Here is a 20,803-nt window from a genome sequence, read left to right as displayed (position 1 = left end):
TTTTAGAGCCTTGGATCCTTTGAACAAAGTAAGTAGCCTAGGCAATCTATGCTTAAACAACAAGGCAGACCTTTCCATCTCAATTCTGATATAAAGTTCACTCAAATGTTTAACTAAAAAAGATTTGTCTTTCCTTAGCATTGACTCATCTTAGTTCTGTTTTAGAGCCATCCAAGGTAAGCCTAATATCTGCTACCCTTTCAGAAGTTTTTGAGGACATTTAGGACCAACCACCTTCTACAGATAACCTCTTACCCAGATAACATGCCCAGTTCTCTATATGATATTAAGTCCTTTAACCAAACAACTCTGGCCTCTTGCAAATACTTATCAAAATTTAAGTATGCAGTTAAATATACATGAAATATGATGAGACCAGTAAAGAAAAGGGTAGCTATATTTATTTCCTCTCCTTTGAACACTACATTTACATTAAGGCCAACAGTATCTTTTTCTGCAGCTACTTTACACTGACCCAGTATTTATGAACTATAAGTGAACCATATATCTCCCACACTGTGCTATCACAGTTTCCTTTTTAAAAATCCCAAGTAGATGGTTTCATATGAACCCCGTTTAATTAAATCCCAATTTTAATTTTGGATTCATAAGCCTTCCATCCTGATTCTGTCATCTAACAGGTTCAAAACTTTCTATAACGAACTTAATGAGCAAGTCCTATACTACGTGACAAGAAAACTCTTTTCAGGTTGAGTTCAATCCAGCAAATTGGAATTCCATGAAGACACAAATTAGGAAAACAAAATACACATGAAATTTAGGGAAGAATCAATAGTGCTATCAAGTACATCTGAGAATACATACCATTCCCTTTGCATTTTGCTGAGGCCCACATAGATTTTTACTTCCTTCTTTGGAGGCAAACTCTTTTCAACATCAGCCTTAATTCGACGAAGGAGGAATGGACGCAAAACCTTAAAAAGGACAAAAATAAACAGGTAATACCAATATTACACATAAGGTCATATTTCAGCATCTTAGAATTGTATATAAAATACATGAAAAAGAAATTTCTCTGCGTGAGTATCAAGTGATTTCTTAGGACTTCTCCCTGCAAATACAGTCATATCTCAGTATCTGTGGGAGACTAGTTCCTGTCCCCTTCCCTTTGAATACCAAAATCCACAAATGCTCGAGTCCATTATAAAAAATGTAGTATTTGCATATAACCTACAAACATCCTCCCATATACTTTAAATCATCTCTAGATTACTTATAATAATAGTTAATGGAATGTAAATGCTATGTTAATAGTTGTTACACTATACCGTTTAGGGAATAATGACAAGGAAAAGGTCGGTATATTTAACACAGATGGAACCATCTATTTTATTTTTATCTTTTTTGGGGACAAATATTTCCAATCCATAGTTGATTGAATCTATGGATGTGGAACCTATGGATATGAAGGGCTAACTGTATATAATTTATTACTACTGGGTTCCTGAAGGGTAGTAATACAAGACCATTACTTATTCAATAAAGGCATACCTCAGAGATATTGTAGGCTCAGTTCCAGACTACCTCAATAAAGCAAGTCACATTTCCCAGTGCATCTAAGAGTTACATTTACACTATTAAGTGTGCAATAGCATTATGTCTAAAAAAAAAACAACGTACACACCTTATTTTAAAAGTACATTATTGCTTTAAAAATGTGATACATTATTTAAAGCAATACATTACTGCTTTAAAAACAGAGTAAACACATGCCGTTGGGAAAACGGTGTTTATTGATAGACTTCCTTGACACAGGGTTGCCACAAACCATCTATTTGTTTCGCAAAATAAATGTTTCTTAAAAATGCAGTATCTGTGAAGCACTGCAAAGGGTAATGAGATGTGCCTGTATATGTTTGAGTATATACTTGTTATACTACCATAAAATACTAAAAACAATAGTAAATTTTTAAAATGTTTTCAACAATTTGCTGCCTTTCAGGTCTAAAACTAGTTACTTGCATGCAGACTGTCTAACAGTGCCTAAGAATGGGCAAGGGTCGGGAGGCCGAGGCAGGCAGATCACAAGGTCAGGAAATCGAGACCATCCTGGCTAACATGGTGAAACCCCGTCTCTATTAAAAATACAAAAAATTAGCCAGGCGAGGTGGCAGGTACCTGTAGTCCCAGCTACTTGGGAGGCTGAGACAGGAGAATGGTGTGAACCCGGGAGGCGGAGCTTGCAGTGAGCCAAGATGGCGCCACTGCACTCCATCCTGGGCGACAGAGCTAGACTCCATCTCAAAAAAAAAAAAAAAAAAAAAAAAAAAGAATGGACAAGGGTCTCATTAAGATCTCCTTATGGTTAGTCTTTAAACTTAATGTACTAACTTAGGGAAAGAATATAAAAGTACACACTTCAATAAATCATGAGTGTACAGTTCTAGAAATTTTATTCAAGTACTGTAAAAGTACCCATGTTATTACCCAAATAGAACACTCTAGAAATCATTTTTGTGTCCCTTCCAATCACTATCCCCTCTTTTCCTTCCCAAGGGTAAGCAATATTCTTATTTTTAGACACCATAAATTAATTTTGCCTATCATTTTTAACTTTATATACATGGACTCACTCAATATGCACCCATTTATATCTGGTTTCTTTTATTAAACAATGAGACATTTCCATGTTATATGTAGTAGTAGTTCACTCATTTTCATAGAACAGTAAGTTTTAAAATTAACTACACAACTAAAGATACCCTTTTTTGTACCTCTGTTCTATTTACACTGGTTTTTAAAAATAGTGACTATATCACAAACCAAATTAGACATTAGTGGGAAAAATACCAGCAACACCTCTCTAACATCACCACGTAGAAAAGCTAGTTCAGCCCTAGTCAACAGGCGGCAGCAACTGCCAGATGTGTAAGTGAAGACCTTTAGCCCCACCGGTTCTCTTCTAGCATTGTCCAGCTAAATAAATGTAACTGGATAACCCCAAGTGTAATCCACAAAGAAACCATCCAGTCAACCCATAAATTCTGGGGTTGTTAATAAAATATAAACTATGAAGTGTTTTGGAGGTGGGGGAAATAAGGGGGTCTTAGTAACCCCTAAAGGGGGGTTAAGGTGTTTTTGGGGGGTGGAGGGAATAAGGGGTTCTTTTGCAGCATTAGATAACTAATACATCAAATAAGAGTTATCTCATTCCTAAGCGCATCCATACCGACTTCTAAACCCTCCTTTCATTATAAGACCACAGGTGCTACTGTAGAAACTTCAAAGTAAAGAGCAGGAGAAAGTAGAGAGGTAGCTACAAGACCTCTTCTCCCTGACTTCATAAGCATTTTCAAAATACCCTGTGAACAAAACAGAGTTACCAAATCTGGTTGATACTGCTGAATGGGTTGTTCATTTGCTTTACCTAGATGTACCTACGTATTTACTAAAGGAAAGCCAAGAGCAGAGGAATAAGGGGAAAAAAATGCATGAAAAAAAATCATGTTCTTCTGCCTCCTTTTCTACCCCCAAGATTACATATACACTCCACAATCCTTGGTCTAAGTAAATACAAAGAGAGTGCTTAGATGCATGAATGCCATCTGAATTGAAACAAAGGTAGCTAGGAAATTACTACCTTCAAATATTTAACAAAACTCTCAATATTTAAGAATTTTAAAGTACTTTATAATGAAATATTTGAACAATCATGAACTTAAATTTTTTTCCCTGTTCAAATATCCACTCTAACTAGGCATTGTGCCAGGTATACAAAGACAAATAAATCTGTGCTTCCTGCCTTTGTGCTTACAATCCAGTATGGAAAACACTTGTGAATCATCTCAATATCCTCTGCAAAGTCCTATAATATTAGGATGCTCAGATTGTTAAAGATGGAATACACAGAAGGGCACCTAGGCCAGCCTCAGCCTGGCTGGTTCAGTGGAGGTGATGTCGCTGAGTCTTGGACTAGGTATTAGTAAAGAGACCAGGAAAAAGGATTCTAGGTGTAGCAAAAATGATAAGCAAAAATAGATTAGAATTACCACAATGTTTACAGAAAACTGACAGTGGGGTCAGCAATCTATCAAATTAAAGCTCAATATATGAAGAAGTAAAACAGATGCCAAAGAATGTTAAAAAGGTTAGGTCATGGAGGGGCACAATTTTGTTCCCCAGGGGACATCTGCAATGTCTAGAGAAATTTTTGGTTGTCACAACTGGAGGAATGTTACTACTGCCATCTAGTGAGTAAAAGTATCAGGGATGCTATTAAACATGCTACAATACACAGGACAATCACGTTCTCCCCTCTCTCCTTACCCCTCTCAGATATACCCAGACCAAAATGTCAAAAGAGGCTGAGAATTCCTGAGTTAGGTCATTAAGGGCTTTATATAACATTCTTACAAGCTCCTGCTTTAACCTGCTTAGCAGGGTATTTTAATCTGGTGTCTGTTAGAGAAGTTTCTCTACCTACCAACTTTTACTTGTGAACCGTCACAGGAAGCTGTATGTAGAAACAAAGCTATACAGCAAGCAAAAACATACCAACTGTGCTCATAATGCAATATTAGCAGTTGTTTATACACAATGTAGCTAGATTTAAGAAAAAACAGATGGATCTTTAGCCCTTTCAAAAGTGAACCTGTTAGATTCTTCCATGGAATGTAAATTGAACTAAGCTTTAAAAACTTGTCTATTAAGGCCGGGCGTGGTGGCTCATGCCTGTAATCCCAACACTCTGGGAGGCCAAGGCAGGCAGGTTGATAACTTGAGTTCAGAAGTTCGAGATTAGCCTGGGCAACATGGTGAAACACTATCTCTACAAAAAATACAAAAATTAGCTGGGCATGGTGGCCAGAGCCTGTAGCCCCAGCTACTCTAGACGCTGAATGGGGAGAGACTGCTTGAGCCTGGGAGGCAGAGGTTTCAGTGAGCCAAGATCATGCCACTGCACTCCAGCCTGGACGACAAAGTGAGACTGTCTCAAAAACAACAACAAAAACTTGTCTATATTAATTATTATGCAATTCTTCTTCCCCCCACTGTATTTTGTATAACTGTAAGAGAATACTTTCTCCCTTAAGTCAGGATTCCATTCTAGGTTCTAACACTGAAACAACCACACATCACCCCCTACACTGATTGTAAGATGTAAGAGTTAAGTGTCAGAATTCAAGCAGATCTGATTCTTAAGCCATTGTGTTTTTTATTAACAGGAAAATAATCTACTAATTTAAACCTTTATCCTTTTTCCCATCATAAATATGCTTTAACACTACTCCAAAATACTTACCATATGAAGCCTCTCAACTAGTTTTTGATCCCCAAGGCAGTTGTTTGTATCAAACCAGGAATCAAAGTCCTAGATAAACAAACAAAAAATATACTCAGATCAGAGATAATATTAACAAATACCCTATAATACCAGATATAGAAATGATTTCTAGAATTAGTAATTTGAATTGTAACCCACAAAAAAAAATCACTTAGTCCAATCCTGGTTTTCATGTGTCATTGTTACTAATTTTAAAACAAGTAGTTCAGAAATCACACTACCTTCTAAACATTCTTCTCAAAAACATCAAAATAACAAGTTTCACAGTAAAAAGTTGGAGAGCAAGTTCTATAGGATTAGAAAATTAATATTCTTGTAAAGTATCTTTCAAGTTTCATAAAAGCTTGAAAATTAAAACATTTTATAGTTTGTTCTCTGAGACCATTCGCACTACTCAAATACAAGTTTACGAACAATGTCAATTTTAATCAAACTTACTAAATGAAATTGAAATTACCAGCATTTCATTAATATTTGGTTACGATTTCAACAAGGGCAGTTTCCCTAACCTCATCTCTTGAACATATGTATTATATATGTGCTTTGTTTTTGAGTAAACATAATCTTAGAATTCACTGCTTTAAAGTAAATGAAAGTGTCAATGTAGTGAGAAACAGGAATTATCTCAAAAACATCAAAATACATAAAATCGAAGCTAAAATTGCTTTTGGAGTCTGATTAAATATCTTTTTACAACACAATCTATTCTTTCAAAACAATCTTCAACAGAAAAAAAACAAAATTAATTAATACCTTTTTATAACTTAATTGTACAAAAATATACTAACATGGAGCTCTTCAAATCCCTCCAATACACATAAGACGCCAGCTATGCAAACAAAGCTTCAAAAATAAACACTGGTCCAGGCAAAAAAAACTGCAATTTCTAATAGCACAAACTCTTGACATAGTTATTATATTACTATTAACAGTTCAAATAGCTAATTAACCATTACTATCCTTTCTATGACTATAAATAATCCATAAAGATTAGGTTCTATTTGTTTGTTAGACTATAATATAAGAAAAGCCAGACAGATTTCACTAAATTTGACAGTCATCCTTGGGACTTAAAACATAAGCAATGTGAGGTATACAAATCACTTCAGGAATACCTTGAGCAGCACCTTAAAAACATAACCAGTCAACCTAGAGCCACTGAAACAAAGTCAGGCCAACCTGACTTACCAAATAGGAGTGACAATTTATGCCATTTCAGATAGAGAAAACAATGATTTAAAGAAGACTGAGGCCTGGTGTGGTGGCTCGTGCCTGTAATCCCAGCACTTTGGGAGGCTGAGGCAGGCAGATCGCTTGAGGCCAGGAGCTTGAGACCAGCCTGGACAACATGGCAAAACCTCATCTCTACAAAAAACACAGAAACTAGCCGGGCATGGTGGCACACACCTGTGATCTCAGCTATTCGGAAGGCTGAGGCACAAGAATCACCTGAATTCCGGAGGTGGAGGCTGCAGTGAGCCAAGATCACACCACTGCACTTCAGCATAGGTGACAGAGTGAGACTACGTCTCAAAAAAAATAAAATAATAATAATAATAATGAAATAAGATTGAAACCAAAGGCACAAAAGTAAATTCCCATTATACAGAGACAACCTAGGAGATAACACCAGGCTAACTATGTAAATAAAAGCATAAAAAATTAATAATAACCTCAAGCCATGCTAAAAGGCAGGCCACTTTTATTACAAAAATATATAGCATTAAGCAAAATATTATTATTAACCAGAAAGCACCAGGAAATACTTACATCTGCTGAATTAAACACATCTGGCAACAGAAAGTTAAGAAGTGACCACAGCTCATGCAAGTTGTTCTGAAGAGGTGTTCCAGTTAATAATAGTCTATTTGTAGTCTTGAATTCCCTCACTATTTCTGACAACTGAAAGAAAAGAACCAAATACACCATTAGAATATTCTGCATATTGCATTATCTACAACAGCAAAGACCTGGAACCAACACAAATGCCCAACAATGATAGACCGGTTAAAGAAAATATGGCACATATACATCAGCGAATAGTACGCAGCCATAAAAGAGAATGAGTTTATATCCTCTGCAAGGACATGGATGAAGCTGGAAGCCATCATTCTCAGTAAACTAACACAGGAACAGAAAACCAAACACTACATGTTCTCACTCATAAGTGGGAGTTGAACAATGAGAACACATGGACACAGGGAGGGGAACACCACATGCCAGGACCTGTCGGGGAGTGGGGAGAAAGCAGAGGGAGAGCATTAGGACAAATACCTAATGCATGCGGGGCTTAAAACCTAGATGATGGGGTGCAGCAAACCACCATGGCACATGCATACCTATGTTAACAAACCTGCACGTTCTGCACATGTATCTCATAACTTAAAGTTAAAAGAAAAAAAAATCTGTACTTTAATCAAATTCTTACATGAAGGCTTTTCACATCTAAGTATCAAATTACCTTAGATTTTTCATTTTTGATCCTGTGAGCTTCATCTATTACTAAGTATCTCCAATTAAATTTTTTGAACACAGACTTCTCTTTAATAAGCATTTCATAAGATGTTACACATACATCCCATTCTCCCGGTAATAAAACGTCTCTGACAAAAGCAGCCTGTGTAACAAGAGAAAAAAATTACATCACGTAGAAATAAACTACGCATTACATTTACTGATGACAAGTAATCTAGTATATAAAAAGAGGTGGGAATACTAAAAAGGAGTAGAGTAGCTAGCTATATTATGCAAACGTTTAGAACCAGCTTTCCTAAGACTAAAGTAACGTCATTAATCATTTAAATGTCAGAACCATTAAGTTTTAAAAAACTGACAAAGTTAACCAGTGAAAAATTCAATAGACACTTAAAATGTCTTTCTGCAATTCCACTAGATCGGGAAATTCTTAGGAGGCAGGTTTAGACAAAAAAGAGGGAGGTTTTAACATAAAGAAAGGAAGAGGGTGGAAAGATAGTTAGCAGTAGTAGGCATCTGCATTCCTTTCAGGTTTATAAATGTATTAACACATTCCTAATAGTATTATTTTAAAGGTAAGGAAACTGAAGCAAAGACTGGTTAAGTAATTACCACTCTTTGGGCTCCCAAACAAACAAACAAAAATTGATAACTTAAAATATCCAACATAACTAGAAAGGGAGAGAAAAATATAGACTTATCACTCACAGGTAAATGAAGAGGAAATAAAAAACAAGTACACAGCTATTCAGTAGAGTCTGAATAAATTTCCAAATCTGAGCTTTATATACTAATGTCATTATTTCCATCTCTTCTTCCCACAAGGATGTTGTCAACTGATCGAAATTTTAACTTATTTTGTTAAATATCATAATAAATCACCAAATTACTATATATGACTCAACCCGTCTTTAAAAACTCTAATTCTGTGACTATTACCACTACACACATTCATCTAAAAATGTGGCTCCTTAAATTTCCAACCAACTCACATTTCAAAATATCTTTTAAAAACAAGAAAATAACTTCTAATGAGAGCACAACCAATGATTTTATACAACCACTCCCAAAAGGGAGAGAAACAAACTACAGTCTTACAGCTTTCTACCATTTCTAATGTCTTCTTCCCAGTATGATTTTTTTTTTTTAAGATGGTCTTGCTTTGTTGCCCAGGCTGGAGTGCAGTGGCGCCATCTCGGCTCACTGCAACCTCCACCTCCCAGATTCCAGCGATTCTCCTGCCTCAGCCTACCAAGTAGCTGGGACTACAGGCCATGCGTGCCACCACACCCAGCTAATTTTTTGAGTTTTTAGTAGAAACGGGGTTTCACTGTGTTAGCCAGGATGGTCTCGATCTCCTGACCTCATGATCCACCCGCCTCGGCCTCCCAAAGTGCTGTTTTTTATCCACCAAGACAATGCTACATTTGTAAATACTAATATTTGCGAAGATCCCGTCTCATTTATCCTTCTTCCAGCTATACCCATACCCAAGCCTGAATTCAAATTATTTTAGCCTCAAAAATGTAATGAAATACTAGAAACTTACTCTTTGTTCTTTATCTCCTATCAAACAAACAGATCTAAGTGTTGGTACCCATCTCTTGAATTCACTCATCCAGTTGTGTAATGTAGACTTAGGAACCAAAACCATATGAGGCCCAGGAATGTTTCTATAATGTTTCATGTACCCAAGAAGAGAAATTGTTTGAAGAGTCTTTCCTAGGCCCTGAAAGATTTCAAAATAACCATGAAGCAGTGAAAAATGAAAATATTATTTCACAATTATACCTCCCAACATATAGAAATGTTCAAAAGAAATGCTACATATTTATAACAGTTAATAAATGGCAAAAACTTAACATATATCAAAGTTTGTAAGTGTTATGTCATATAATTTTCACAAGTCTCTAAAGGAGGTATTATTATCACCCGCATAAGGCCCCGTTTAAGTGACATTCCCAAAGTCATCTAGCAGAGCTAGCATTGAAACACATTTCTTTTGACTTCATACTTTCTCCAACCAATTAAACGTTTTAGCATTATAGCAATAAGGAAACTTTTTTAAACATTCATTACATAACTAGTAGTTAACAAAAGATAAATGTTTTCTAAGAATTGTACAAGCTACCACCTGGAAAAAACATTTATCAATTATAAACAATTAATGACCTCACTTTTGTTTTACAAAACTGGAAGCAAATAAATCATTGTACTATAAAAGTCATCCAAAAACATGTTTCTCAAATGTATTCTTTTTAAATTTATCATATTTTCAGCGATGGAAATTTCTCACAATTAAAATACAGATCACACTTATGCAACTAAGGCAAGCTGCTTATACTAGTTTCTGAGAGGATCCATTTGCTAACAGTTGTAGACTGTAAGAAACTTTTATCAACGTATAAGATATTTTCAATACAAAACATACCCTTCAAAAAAAACTACCAACACATACCATTTCATCTGCAAGGATACCATTGATGCCATTCTCATACAAAGAAATGAGCCAGTTTAATCCTCGGACCTGATAATCTCTCAGTTTACCCCATTTTACATCTAAGAACAAAAGAAAAGCACAATAGGCATTTTAAGACAAGAAATACAAGGCAATCTCTTCATCTAAGCCTACACATATCTACTGACTTTATTTTCATTACTAACGGATTCTTGAATAGGAACTCTGCAAGTTCCAAAATACTAGAGGTAGCTGCCATGGTCTGAAGTGGAAAAGCTGGACATGGAAGATAATCAAGTGCGGGAAACATGACTGCGGGCATCAGAGTACCCACTCCAACAACTCAGTTCTTACGTTACCCATATACTGGTCTGAGAGACTCTTTGGCCTCTCGTCTTTTTAATGAAAAACCAAGTGTTCCTAACCAAGTATTTTCAGCTTTCATAAAGACCAGATACAGGTTATCTGGGGATTTTATTTTCTTTCTAGTAAAAAAAAAAAAAAAAGAAATAGGAAATTCCTAAGTTACTTGTCCAATATATCTTATACATTCCAATGCACTCTCTTTCAGGGTATACTACTTATTTTGCTCCCCAGAATAATTACCAAATATACATAACGGTCACCTGATTTTTCTTTTTTAATATGTACACAGTGTAGCCCTCCATCTCCTTTTGAAAAACACTTGAGGATAAAAAGCTAACCAATAAACAAATACATTTCACAAAAAATTAAATTAATATAAAAACATCAGAAGTAAGCAAATGTGTTCATGAAGTACCTTTTTTAAAATAAATTAGTTTTCTTATGTGGGACAAATATAAAGCAAAACGATCCTTAGATTTACATATACTTCAGGGCAATAACAAACACAATGACATTTTATATAACTTTGAAATACAGCACTACTATCCTGTAATATGCTCTCATCTCCATCAAAATCTGAAGTTTATTTCATAACCAATAAACATCTAAGACTACTAAAAATTTGCTTCACAAATAGTAGCCAACACAAATCCAAAACATTAACCAAAGGAGATCTCAAAGGGCAATTTTTTAAAAAAATCAAGTGTGTTTAACATACACGATGGAGAGTCTTCAAATCGAGTGCAAACATTGGTTGCTTTGGAGCTTTCTGTTAATAGCTCTTCATCCTCCTCTTGCTCTGTTCTACGGTGTCGGTAACTGTTAAGATGAAAATAAAATAACCTGATTTGAGTTTTGGCTTTAATTATCAGCTACTGTTTAAACATCATAGTCAAGTGGCTGACCAAGATTCCACAAAATTAAATTTTTAACAGGCATCAACCAGTGGACAGTAGAAAATATGAGTACATTTAAATCTGCAATGTTTTAAATAATTATTTAAAATATACATTAGTTATTAAAATACACCAGTACGATACATTAACCAGAACCCAATAAACTCAAATATGATAGTCAAATTTCAAGAACTATGTAGTCAGAAAATCTCATTATTTGAATTTTAAAGTGTACCTTTTTAAAAATCTTTTTGCCAAGGAAAAAAAAGTTCCAGAAACCACATGTTTAAAATTGTAACTTCGAGCAAAAGCTGCAGCATAAGGACTCAGAAATTTAAGCAGTGACCACGGATTCATCAAAAAAATTTTTAAATACACATCTAAATTCTACATCCTAAGAGAATCAGATATACTACCCCCTTAAAAACTGATTTTCTAAAGTTTTAATACTGCCAATTAATCTCTAAAGGGCTTGGTTCAGTAAAACTATTAATACTTACTCCCCAATTCTGACACTTTCAACAAATATTTTCATCTTATTTAGAAAAAGGCACGTTATGCCTCTGTTGAGACCGCTGAATCTAATTTGTAACTTCATTTCTACCAAAACCACATGCTTGCTAAAAGGATAAGCGGCCTTCCAAGATAGAAGCATTCCTCAGAAATTCAAGGGCCTTCTTGTTTGTTATATATGCTTCTAATCATAATCAGTACATCCTAGTCTGTTATTCCTTGTACTTCTCTGCATTCTGAGCCTATGAAATTGAGTACAAAGATCTACTTCCATCCCCTATTTATTCTCCATAAACTGGGAGATAATTTTAAATTCTTTTTATAAAATATCCTTTATAGTTACTCTCAAAATGTTTGATTATTACAGTTGTAAAACTTAAAAGCTGAGATGTCATTTATTGTTAAAAATTGAATATAATCGTGAATGACTTAAAAAAAAAACGTATTCCTGGCCAGGCACAGTGGCTCACGCCTGTAATCCCAACACTTTAGGAGGCAGAGGTGGGTGGATCACTTGAGGTCAGAAGTTCGAGACTAGCCTGGCCAACATGGTGAAACCCCATCTCTACCAAAAATACAAAAATGAGCTGGGCGTGGTGGCGTGAGCCTGTAATCCCAGCTGAGGTCCAAGAATCGCTTGAACCCCAGAGGCACAACTTGCAGTGAACCGAGATCACACCACTGCACGCACTCCAGCCTGGGCCACAGAGCAAGACTCTGTCTCAATAAAAACAAACAAACAAAAAAAGATTTAAAAAAATGTATTCCTGATACCCAAAGACAATACTATGACCCTCATTACTTTAGGTAAATTAGCTTCCCATTTAAGATGGTTTGAGGAGTAAAGAAATCTGTTAACTAGGACTTTTTTCCCTAATAACACTATTTAATACATTAAGCCTAACAATTTATTATTACTATTTCCAATAGAATCTTTTTTATCTTATAAAAAAGATAAATTAGGATAATAATAAAATAGAAAAGAATAAAAGAAGTGTTTCTTTTCGAGACATCATACTGACTATCCCATAACAATATTCAGTACAGTAGTTTCCAGTTTCATGCCATGACACTAATGCAAACTTCTGAAGTCTGAAATATTTTAAATACAGCTGAAGGGCAAAATTGTCCCTTCAAAGTTTCGTAAGTATTAAAATAGTGCTTTGGTCACAATGGATGAGAAATAAGATATAATGAATGAGTGGAATACCCCAAATAAAAGGTATTATGCTTACAACGATAACCCCTTCAAGATGAAGATCATACTTCCCTCTTTCAACAAACTGTGTAGTGAATTTAACCTTGTTGATACTTCTTCTTTTAAACAATCTTTTGTATTTTAATTACTAATCACAGTTTTCACTTTGGGAATTACACAAAGCCATTTCAGGGAGCCAAGACTGCCCTAAATCTACTATTACTAATTAAACATCTTATTTATCCAACCAGAATGAAAATTCTAGAGAATTTCCAAATTCAACATGTAAGAATTATTTTCAACCACCACCAAAGGACGGCATACAACGTGACACTTCAATTTATATAAAAACAACTAAGTATGCAATAAAAATTTTAAACAGGCTGCCGTGATGTAAGTCATCACAATATCCCACACACCACACTTTAGATAAAATACTGTCAACATCTGTATGTGATGGAGGAGCCTAGAGCACACCCAAGTCAGATTCAAATTCAAGTCTGGATCATTCTTCAATGTGATGTTAAACAAGCCACTTAACCTCTGCATTTGTTTCCTCTCTGAGGAATGACGTGACATCTAAATTCCATACTCAACATGATTGTTACAATTCATAAACTATATAATGCTACAAAAAATAAGGCGTTATGCAGTTTTATTCTTTTTTTTTTTTTTTTTTTTTTTTGTAGAGATGGGATCTCCCTACGTTGCCCAGGCTGCTCTCATACTCCCGGACTCAAGCAATCCTCCCACCTTGGCGTCCCAAAATGCTGCGATTACAGGCAAGAGCCACTGTGCTCTAACCATTATGCGTATTTTTATATACTTATACATTTATGGCTAAATCATGCCAAGCCAAACAGGGCCAAATAAATAATGGCACTAAAATAATTTTAAGTTATTTATCATAGTGATTTTATGCTTCCACTGAAGACTATCGAAAATAAGTTTGGTTGAACTATGAAGTTTAAACTATTACTCACTCGCCAACGGATAGTAAGTTCTGCTTCTCATCTTTTTTTATTCGTGGGCGCCCTGGTTTCATCTTCAAAGGTGAAGTTGGAGTCTTCTGAGCAGCAGGTTGAATGAAATGTGCAAAAAGTTCTGTCTGCTTTAATAAATACTCGAATCTATTTGCCCGGTCAGTTTGCTGAAAAAAAAAAATTTAAGATACATTTTATCAGAGTATCAATTAAAACTTCAGAAATCAAAGTTTCAGCATGCCTCCATACAATGAACTCAGCAAAAAAAAAAAGAGAACTACAGATAAATGCAACATGGATGAGTTTCAAAAGCACTATGCAAAGTGAAAGAAGCCAAACACAAAAGACTACATGCTGTATGATTCCACTTAAATGAAATGCTAACTAGTGATAGAAAGCAGATCAGAAGTGGCAAGGAGGTGGGAGCAAGAACTGATTAGAAAGGAGCAGGAGCAAACTTTGGGGATGATGGAACTACTCTGCATCATGATTGTGATGGTATTTAAAGAAATATTTGCTAAAACTCATTGAATTACAAACTTAAAATTATTTTATGTCAATTATACTTCAATACAGTTGATCGGAACAATTTTTAAAATATTAAACACTGTGCAATACAAGTGAATTTACTCAGAAGCTGGAAAAAATGCAGTGCTCATTCATTAGTTAGGCTGTGACAAATTTTAAAACGGTATTGGGATTGATACTATTCCTTCCTTTCGTATCTGCCATCTGCCCCTTTGAATGTTCCCTATTATAATACCGAGAGAATGGAAAAAATTTACTTGGGCAAAAAAAACCTTAAGAGCCTCGAAGACAAATTTTCATAAAAATAATGAAATTGGGAGCCATTAGGCAGCCTTTATACAAAAACAATAATAGTTTGATGAAACAAAGGAGAAGCAAGACAAGAAAAGCTCAATAAACAGGGAAACCAACTACTCAACATCTCTGTCTATAAATGTTTAAAATGTCAGTTTGGGAATAAATTACAAAAAGACATTTTACCTAGCAAACACAAGAAGTATCCAAATGCCATAATGTTGTAACAACTACGTATTTTTAAAAGGAACATAATCATTTTTTAAGGTCACACCAATGTAAAAACTGAAGCCCAATTTGCTATTAGGAAGGCACATGGTTATAGTGTTTCATTGGGTCACAAATGGCAGTCATAGCAGCAAATGAATCTGCACAGTAACAAGACTGTGAACATGCTAGAACCCCAGTAATGTCCTACAGATGACAAGCCTCTGTTATTTATGTTTTCCAAGATTACAGACTGTTTTTAAAGTGCTGAACAAGATACATATGTGAATGCATATTTTACATAATTACATTTCTTAATTTATAGATAATGAAACAAAAGCCAAGAGCACGCATCTACAAGATGTTTGGACTGAAAAAATAATTATTGTAATTATGTTTGGAATCAAGATAAACTGCTTGAAAGAATGAAAAGGTTAAAACTGAAATGTCTTGAGGGAGAAAAACCAACAGAACCTAAAAAGCAGAAACAAGAGAGTATGATTAGGAACCTGAAAGAAATCAATTATAAAATCAAACGGAAATTAAAGTGAATAGCTTTGGACTAGCTTCTTTCTCTGAAACAGGAAGAAATGAGGTAGGATAATAGAGGCTATACATATGTTTGAAAAGAGAAAGAAAATAAAGACAGGCCTGCAATTCTTTGTGGAGGAAGATTGGAAATGAGGGCATGGTAGAAATGGAGAAGAAAGACTGATCAGAGTGGGGACATTTTAGAATGGCTAAATGAGACTGATAGGCAATAAATACTCAAGGTCCAAGAAAATAAAAACCATAAACTTATACTGGCACCAATCAGCACTAGTATTTAGTTTTCTGAAGTAGTACTCAGCATTCTGGGTTCAAGAACGAGGAGTGGATAGTGAACTTATCTATGGTTAGAACTAGCAGATGACAAGGGAGCTTCTTGCTTAGAAGAAAACTGTGCAGGTGAAGATCATGATGTCAAAAAAGGAAATAATGCTGGGAGACTGAAAAACCTGGAAGAAACGAAAAGAGTTCCAATAAAGGCCACTAAGAAAATGAAAAGCATTGTAGAGAGCCACTGAAAAACCTCCATTTCACAGTCAAATTTGTGTTATAAATAACACTTTGCAAAAATGTTAAGAAACTTGGAAGGGGCCAGATCATAAGAAAGGAGGCAAATACAGAAGCACAAAATAATCCATGCAATAATAGAAAAATACTAAACTAGGGTGATATGGAAAAGAGAATAAACTCGTAAGTAAACTTATTGTTTACAAGTATGCAGTACTGTCATGAACATCTTGAGTATACCTGAAGAGGAACTTTCATTCATTGAGGTAACACTAAGGTATGCTAAGTAAAAATTATGAATTCAGTTTTGGATATTCTCAAGTAAGAGGTATGAATAGGATTTTAAAGTAAATGAAAATACGGATTACAGGCTTCTGGGCTAGAGGTTAAGTATTTGAAAATATTCAGTTTAAAGATACCAGGTAAAAACCAGTAAGAATCAAACTGTCTAGGAAGAAATGTTCAAATTTTAATAAGGAAGGACAAAGGAATAAAAAAGCAAAGAGGATATTATCACGGGAAAAAATGTCTTTCAAGGCAAGTCAAGATTTTTGAGGAATGGTCAACAATGTCAAGCACAAATCAAGAAACTAAAACTAAGCCTCAGAATTGGCAATTAGATTCACCAGCAGAGTGTGTCAGAATCTAAACTATAAAGGGTTAAAGCAGTATTAAAATATGTAGACTGTATTCAAAGTAGTATTCACTTTAAAAAAACAGAGCGGCAAATCTATTTTTTCTCTAAGTTTGATAGCAAAAAAGGTGACAGTTACATATATACATATGTAAAATATATAACAAATCAAACCTAAAGATATATCATTTATAATTTACATAGTGTTATATGTATTGTGCATATTATACATGCACATAAAATACATACCATAATTTTAAGATTTTGAAGCTATTTAAGACATTCAAAAATATTTACTGATTTGGAAGAGAAAGTCAAAGGACAAGAAAAAAGTATGTTTTAAAAAATATGTAAGATCTGCTATGTGCCAGATACTGTTCTGGGTACTGAAGACAGAAAGAAAGATTAAGACACTGTTTTTACCCTACAGGAGCACACTGTGTAGTGGTATTCTTATTTAATACATTGTTATTTTAACTTTTTGAGATTTCAATACAATTAAATGAGTTTAATCCATATAAAGCATTCCTAACAGGGTCAGATACGGAGTAAACATTCACTGTTAGCCACTACTACTATTACTAAAACTGAATTTAAATTTAAAGCTCTGTGTAGGTACTGTTTAAGTCAAGTCATAGTTTTGAGAAGTTTCTTAGAAGATACGGAACGTGAACTGGGACTTGAATGACTCCAATATAATGTCATGTTCTTTTTGTAAAGACCCCATCTATAATATAAAAATGCTGTGAACAAGGAGCATATTTCTTTTTTTGGTAACTAGCAGAGTACAATGCTAGTCAAGTGCAGAATAAACATACACTGAGTAACTATTCTGGTCTTCACCTCGCTTCCAAGGTTAAATTTTTAAAGGTGTTGTTAACATAACTAGATAATGACATCATATTATGTTAATTCATATAATACTTCCATTTGGCTTACATAGACACATAAGATATGGAAGTTATAGTATTCCATATTACACATATTTCAAATGGATATCTGTGCCATAATTACAAAAATTAAACAGACATTGCTATGGTTTGACTGTGTCCCCCTCCAAATCTCCCATGTTGTAATTTAATCCCCAACGCAACAGTGTTGGGAGGTAGGGCCTAATAAGAGGTGATTAGGAAAAGATTACTGTCAGTATCTCAGGAGGAGGTTATCACCAGTGAGCTTGTTATAAAAGAAAGTTCAGTCCTGTCTTGCTCTCTTCTCTTGGCCTTCCTCCATATAATGACACTGCAAGAAGGCCCTCAACAAATGCTGGCCTTGACCTTGGACTTGCCAGCCTCCAGAACTCTAAGAAATAAATTTCGTTTCTTTATAAATTACCCAGTCTGTGGTATTGTTGTAACACAAAATGGACTAAGATAGATGTTTAGTACATTTAATCACCTGATAAAAAGTTTTCCTTATAGACTCTATTCACAAGCCTAGAACATACCATTTTTTCTTCATAGGTAGGATCTGGTTCTTGGATTTCCTTTTGCTTTCCAGGTGACGCATCATCAAATATTTCCTGGTAGAAAGAAATAATTAAATAGAATTGGTCTTCGAAAATAGTAAACATACCATTATAGACCAATTTCTGACCAAAACACATCTTAAATAATACATTCTCACCCCAAACTTCCTAGAAACTTAAACAGCTGTCATCTAAGCTAACAGAAAAACTGATAAAATGATATTAGATACTATGGGGATAACAACGTATTTAACCCATATATATAAACTGTATGGTTGTTGCCAAGATTAGAACACAAGATTATCTTCATCATCCTAAAAGAAAACTACATTTAATACAAGCCAATCTGTTTCTCTTTTTCTGTAATAACCATGAAACCAAACTAAATAGTATAAAATGTGGGGAAAAGTTCCCCTTTTGTCATAAAACTACAGTATCTACTGTGCTACCACACAAATGTCTACAAAGAAATCAGAATTAGTCACCCTGATTTCCACCTTCTGGAATATTACAAAAACTTTATCTCGCAGCCTAAATTGAATACTCTAACTACAGTCTGATTCCTAAACTAGTAATAAATGTTATTCTTGCAAATATATTTATCCTGACATTCATATGTCACAAGCAACAAAAAACAACTTCTACACTGCAAAGTTCTATTCATCCATTAAAAAAAATTGGCAGAAGTAATCTTCATTAATGATGCACAAATCTATGCTAGGCAATATATGCTATAATAAAACTATCTGTGACCAAAAAGTTGTGGGGAGGAGATCTGGTACGGTACTGGAATAGAAGGTAAAATGACCTTAAGTCAAGTCTAACTTCATTGTTAAGACCCTTGGCACTTGTGTGACCCTATGTTCATCATAAATCTCTGGTCTACATATGTAAGTGACAAAGCCACCTACCCAGTCCAGTTTACAAAATTCCAAAATGCCATGAAATGCAACCTACAAAAATAAAATGTGCTTCAGGCATCTTGACATCACATTATTGGTATACAGGTGACTATTTAATCAATCTAGTCAATAGAGATGAGGATGAACACAGAAGAGTTCCACACTGCCAAAAGGATAACTAAAAAACAAGTGCTCCATTGACCTATTAGTATCAAGCAAAAAGAAAAAAAGTAACTGAATACATAGGAAGGCTATTTCTGGGAAAATCAGCTTTGTCACCAAAAAAAAAAAAAAAAAAAAATTCATGAATGCTGGGTTTACTCTGTTTAGAAAAACACCTTAGATCATACTTCCAAACAAGAAAAAGTCATTTATAAAATATTCATTTTCCAAGTGCAAAACAGATTAAGTTGTGACATATATATTAAGCATGTGTGCTCAAACTTAGTTTATATCATGAATTGCAGTAATTCTGAATTTTGTTAAACAGGAAACTGACATTTTAAAAGACAAAAAAAAAAATCACACTATAATGTCAACCAAAAAAAAAATGTGTCAGTGATAAGATGGATAAAAAAATAAAATTCCTAATATTTCTATACTAGGAAGGTAAAAATAACAATGTTATTCAATAAATTGAACCGCCAAATATGTTTTTTTTGGTAAGAACATGGCAGAGCAAGATGGGTGGGAAACGGCTCACTTTTAAAGGCAGATCCGAGTTTTATTACAGGTTCTACCTAGTAGAACTCAATTTCCCCATCTGGCAAATGAAAATATCACTAATTTAATACGGTAGTGATAACATCTATACTCACGTTTGAACTTAAAATCAATTTTCATTTAAAATAGCAACTTCAAGTCAAAAATGTTGACTTGCTTTAGGCTTAAAATTACTCTGCATTCAGATATTAATAAGACCTCTGGTGAAACATTCATTTTTCCAAAGTTTGGATGGCAGACCCCTTTGAGAAGCTGAGGAAAAACTATAAACAATTTTTGTAGAGAACTGCACATTTACACATAATTGCTTTGTGTCAAACCCCTTAAGCCTTGGAACAGAAATCCAAGTTAAAGAGCCCTAGTAACCCAAAAGAACCATTTCCTTAAGGAAAAAAAAGCAACACTGAATATATTTTAATTTGGAAGTAATCTTATCTTAATCACTCAAAACTACAGGAACTATCAGGAGTTCCTATGTCACTAAACCTACCCTCACCACTAAAAGTTCTTTAAATGATTACTAACATTAATGTTACTTAACCCCAGCTACCCAAATATAACTACTGTGCCAAAAGCCTCAATGGTAAATTACGCTACCATTTTCTTACTGTATAATGATTCTGCATCAAGACTCATCTTCGGAGCAGTATTACTTTCATTCTGTCTAAGGATAGGAAAATCCCAGAAATCTTTGGGCTCCGACTCACAAAATATCTCAAAACAGGTCGAAGGCCAAGAAAATAAAAATTGGAAGGAGCAATTACTTTGTTCCCAGATGCAAAGCCTGGAAGCATATC

General features: G+C 34.6%; 1 protein-coding gene across 2 annotated transcripts in view; it reads right to left on the bottom strand.

The window, feature by feature from the left end:
* SMARCA5 (SNF2 related chromatin remodeling ATPase 5) overlaps positions 1 to 20,803 on the bottom strand; it is a 43,785-nt gene that overhangs the window by 21,697 nt on the left and 1,285 nt on the right. For both annotated transcript variants that reach the window (NM_003601.4, XM_047416323.1), the window contains exons 2-10: positions 18,361 to 18,435; positions 14,195 to 14,361; positions 11,323 to 11,423; positions 10,239 to 10,339; positions 9,330 to 9,509; positions 7,767 to 7,922; positions 7,076 to 7,207; positions 5,264 to 5,332; positions 826 to 935 (exon numbers count right to left, since the gene is read on the bottom strand). In NM_003601.4, the coding sequence (NP_003592.3) occupies positions 826 to 935; positions 5,264 to 5,332; positions 7,076 to 7,207; positions 7,767 to 7,922; positions 9,330 to 9,509; positions 10,239 to 10,339; positions 11,323 to 11,423; positions 14,195 to 14,361; positions 18,361 to 18,435 (1,091 nt within the window). The remainder of the gene's footprint in view (positions 1 to 825; positions 936 to 5,263; positions 5,333 to 7,075; positions 7,208 to 7,766; positions 7,923 to 9,329; positions 9,510 to 10,238; positions 10,340 to 11,322; positions 11,424 to 14,194; positions 14,362 to 18,360; positions 18,436 to 20,803) is intronic.

This window comes from Homo sapiens, chromosome 4, assembly GCF_000001405.40.
Source record: "Homo sapiens chromosome 4, GRCh38.p14 Primary Assembly".
NCBI classification, from domain to species: Eukaryota; Metazoa; Chordata; class Mammalia; order Primates; family Hominidae; genus Homo; species Homo sapiens.
This window is presented reverse-complemented; position numbering and strand designations above follow the sequence as displayed.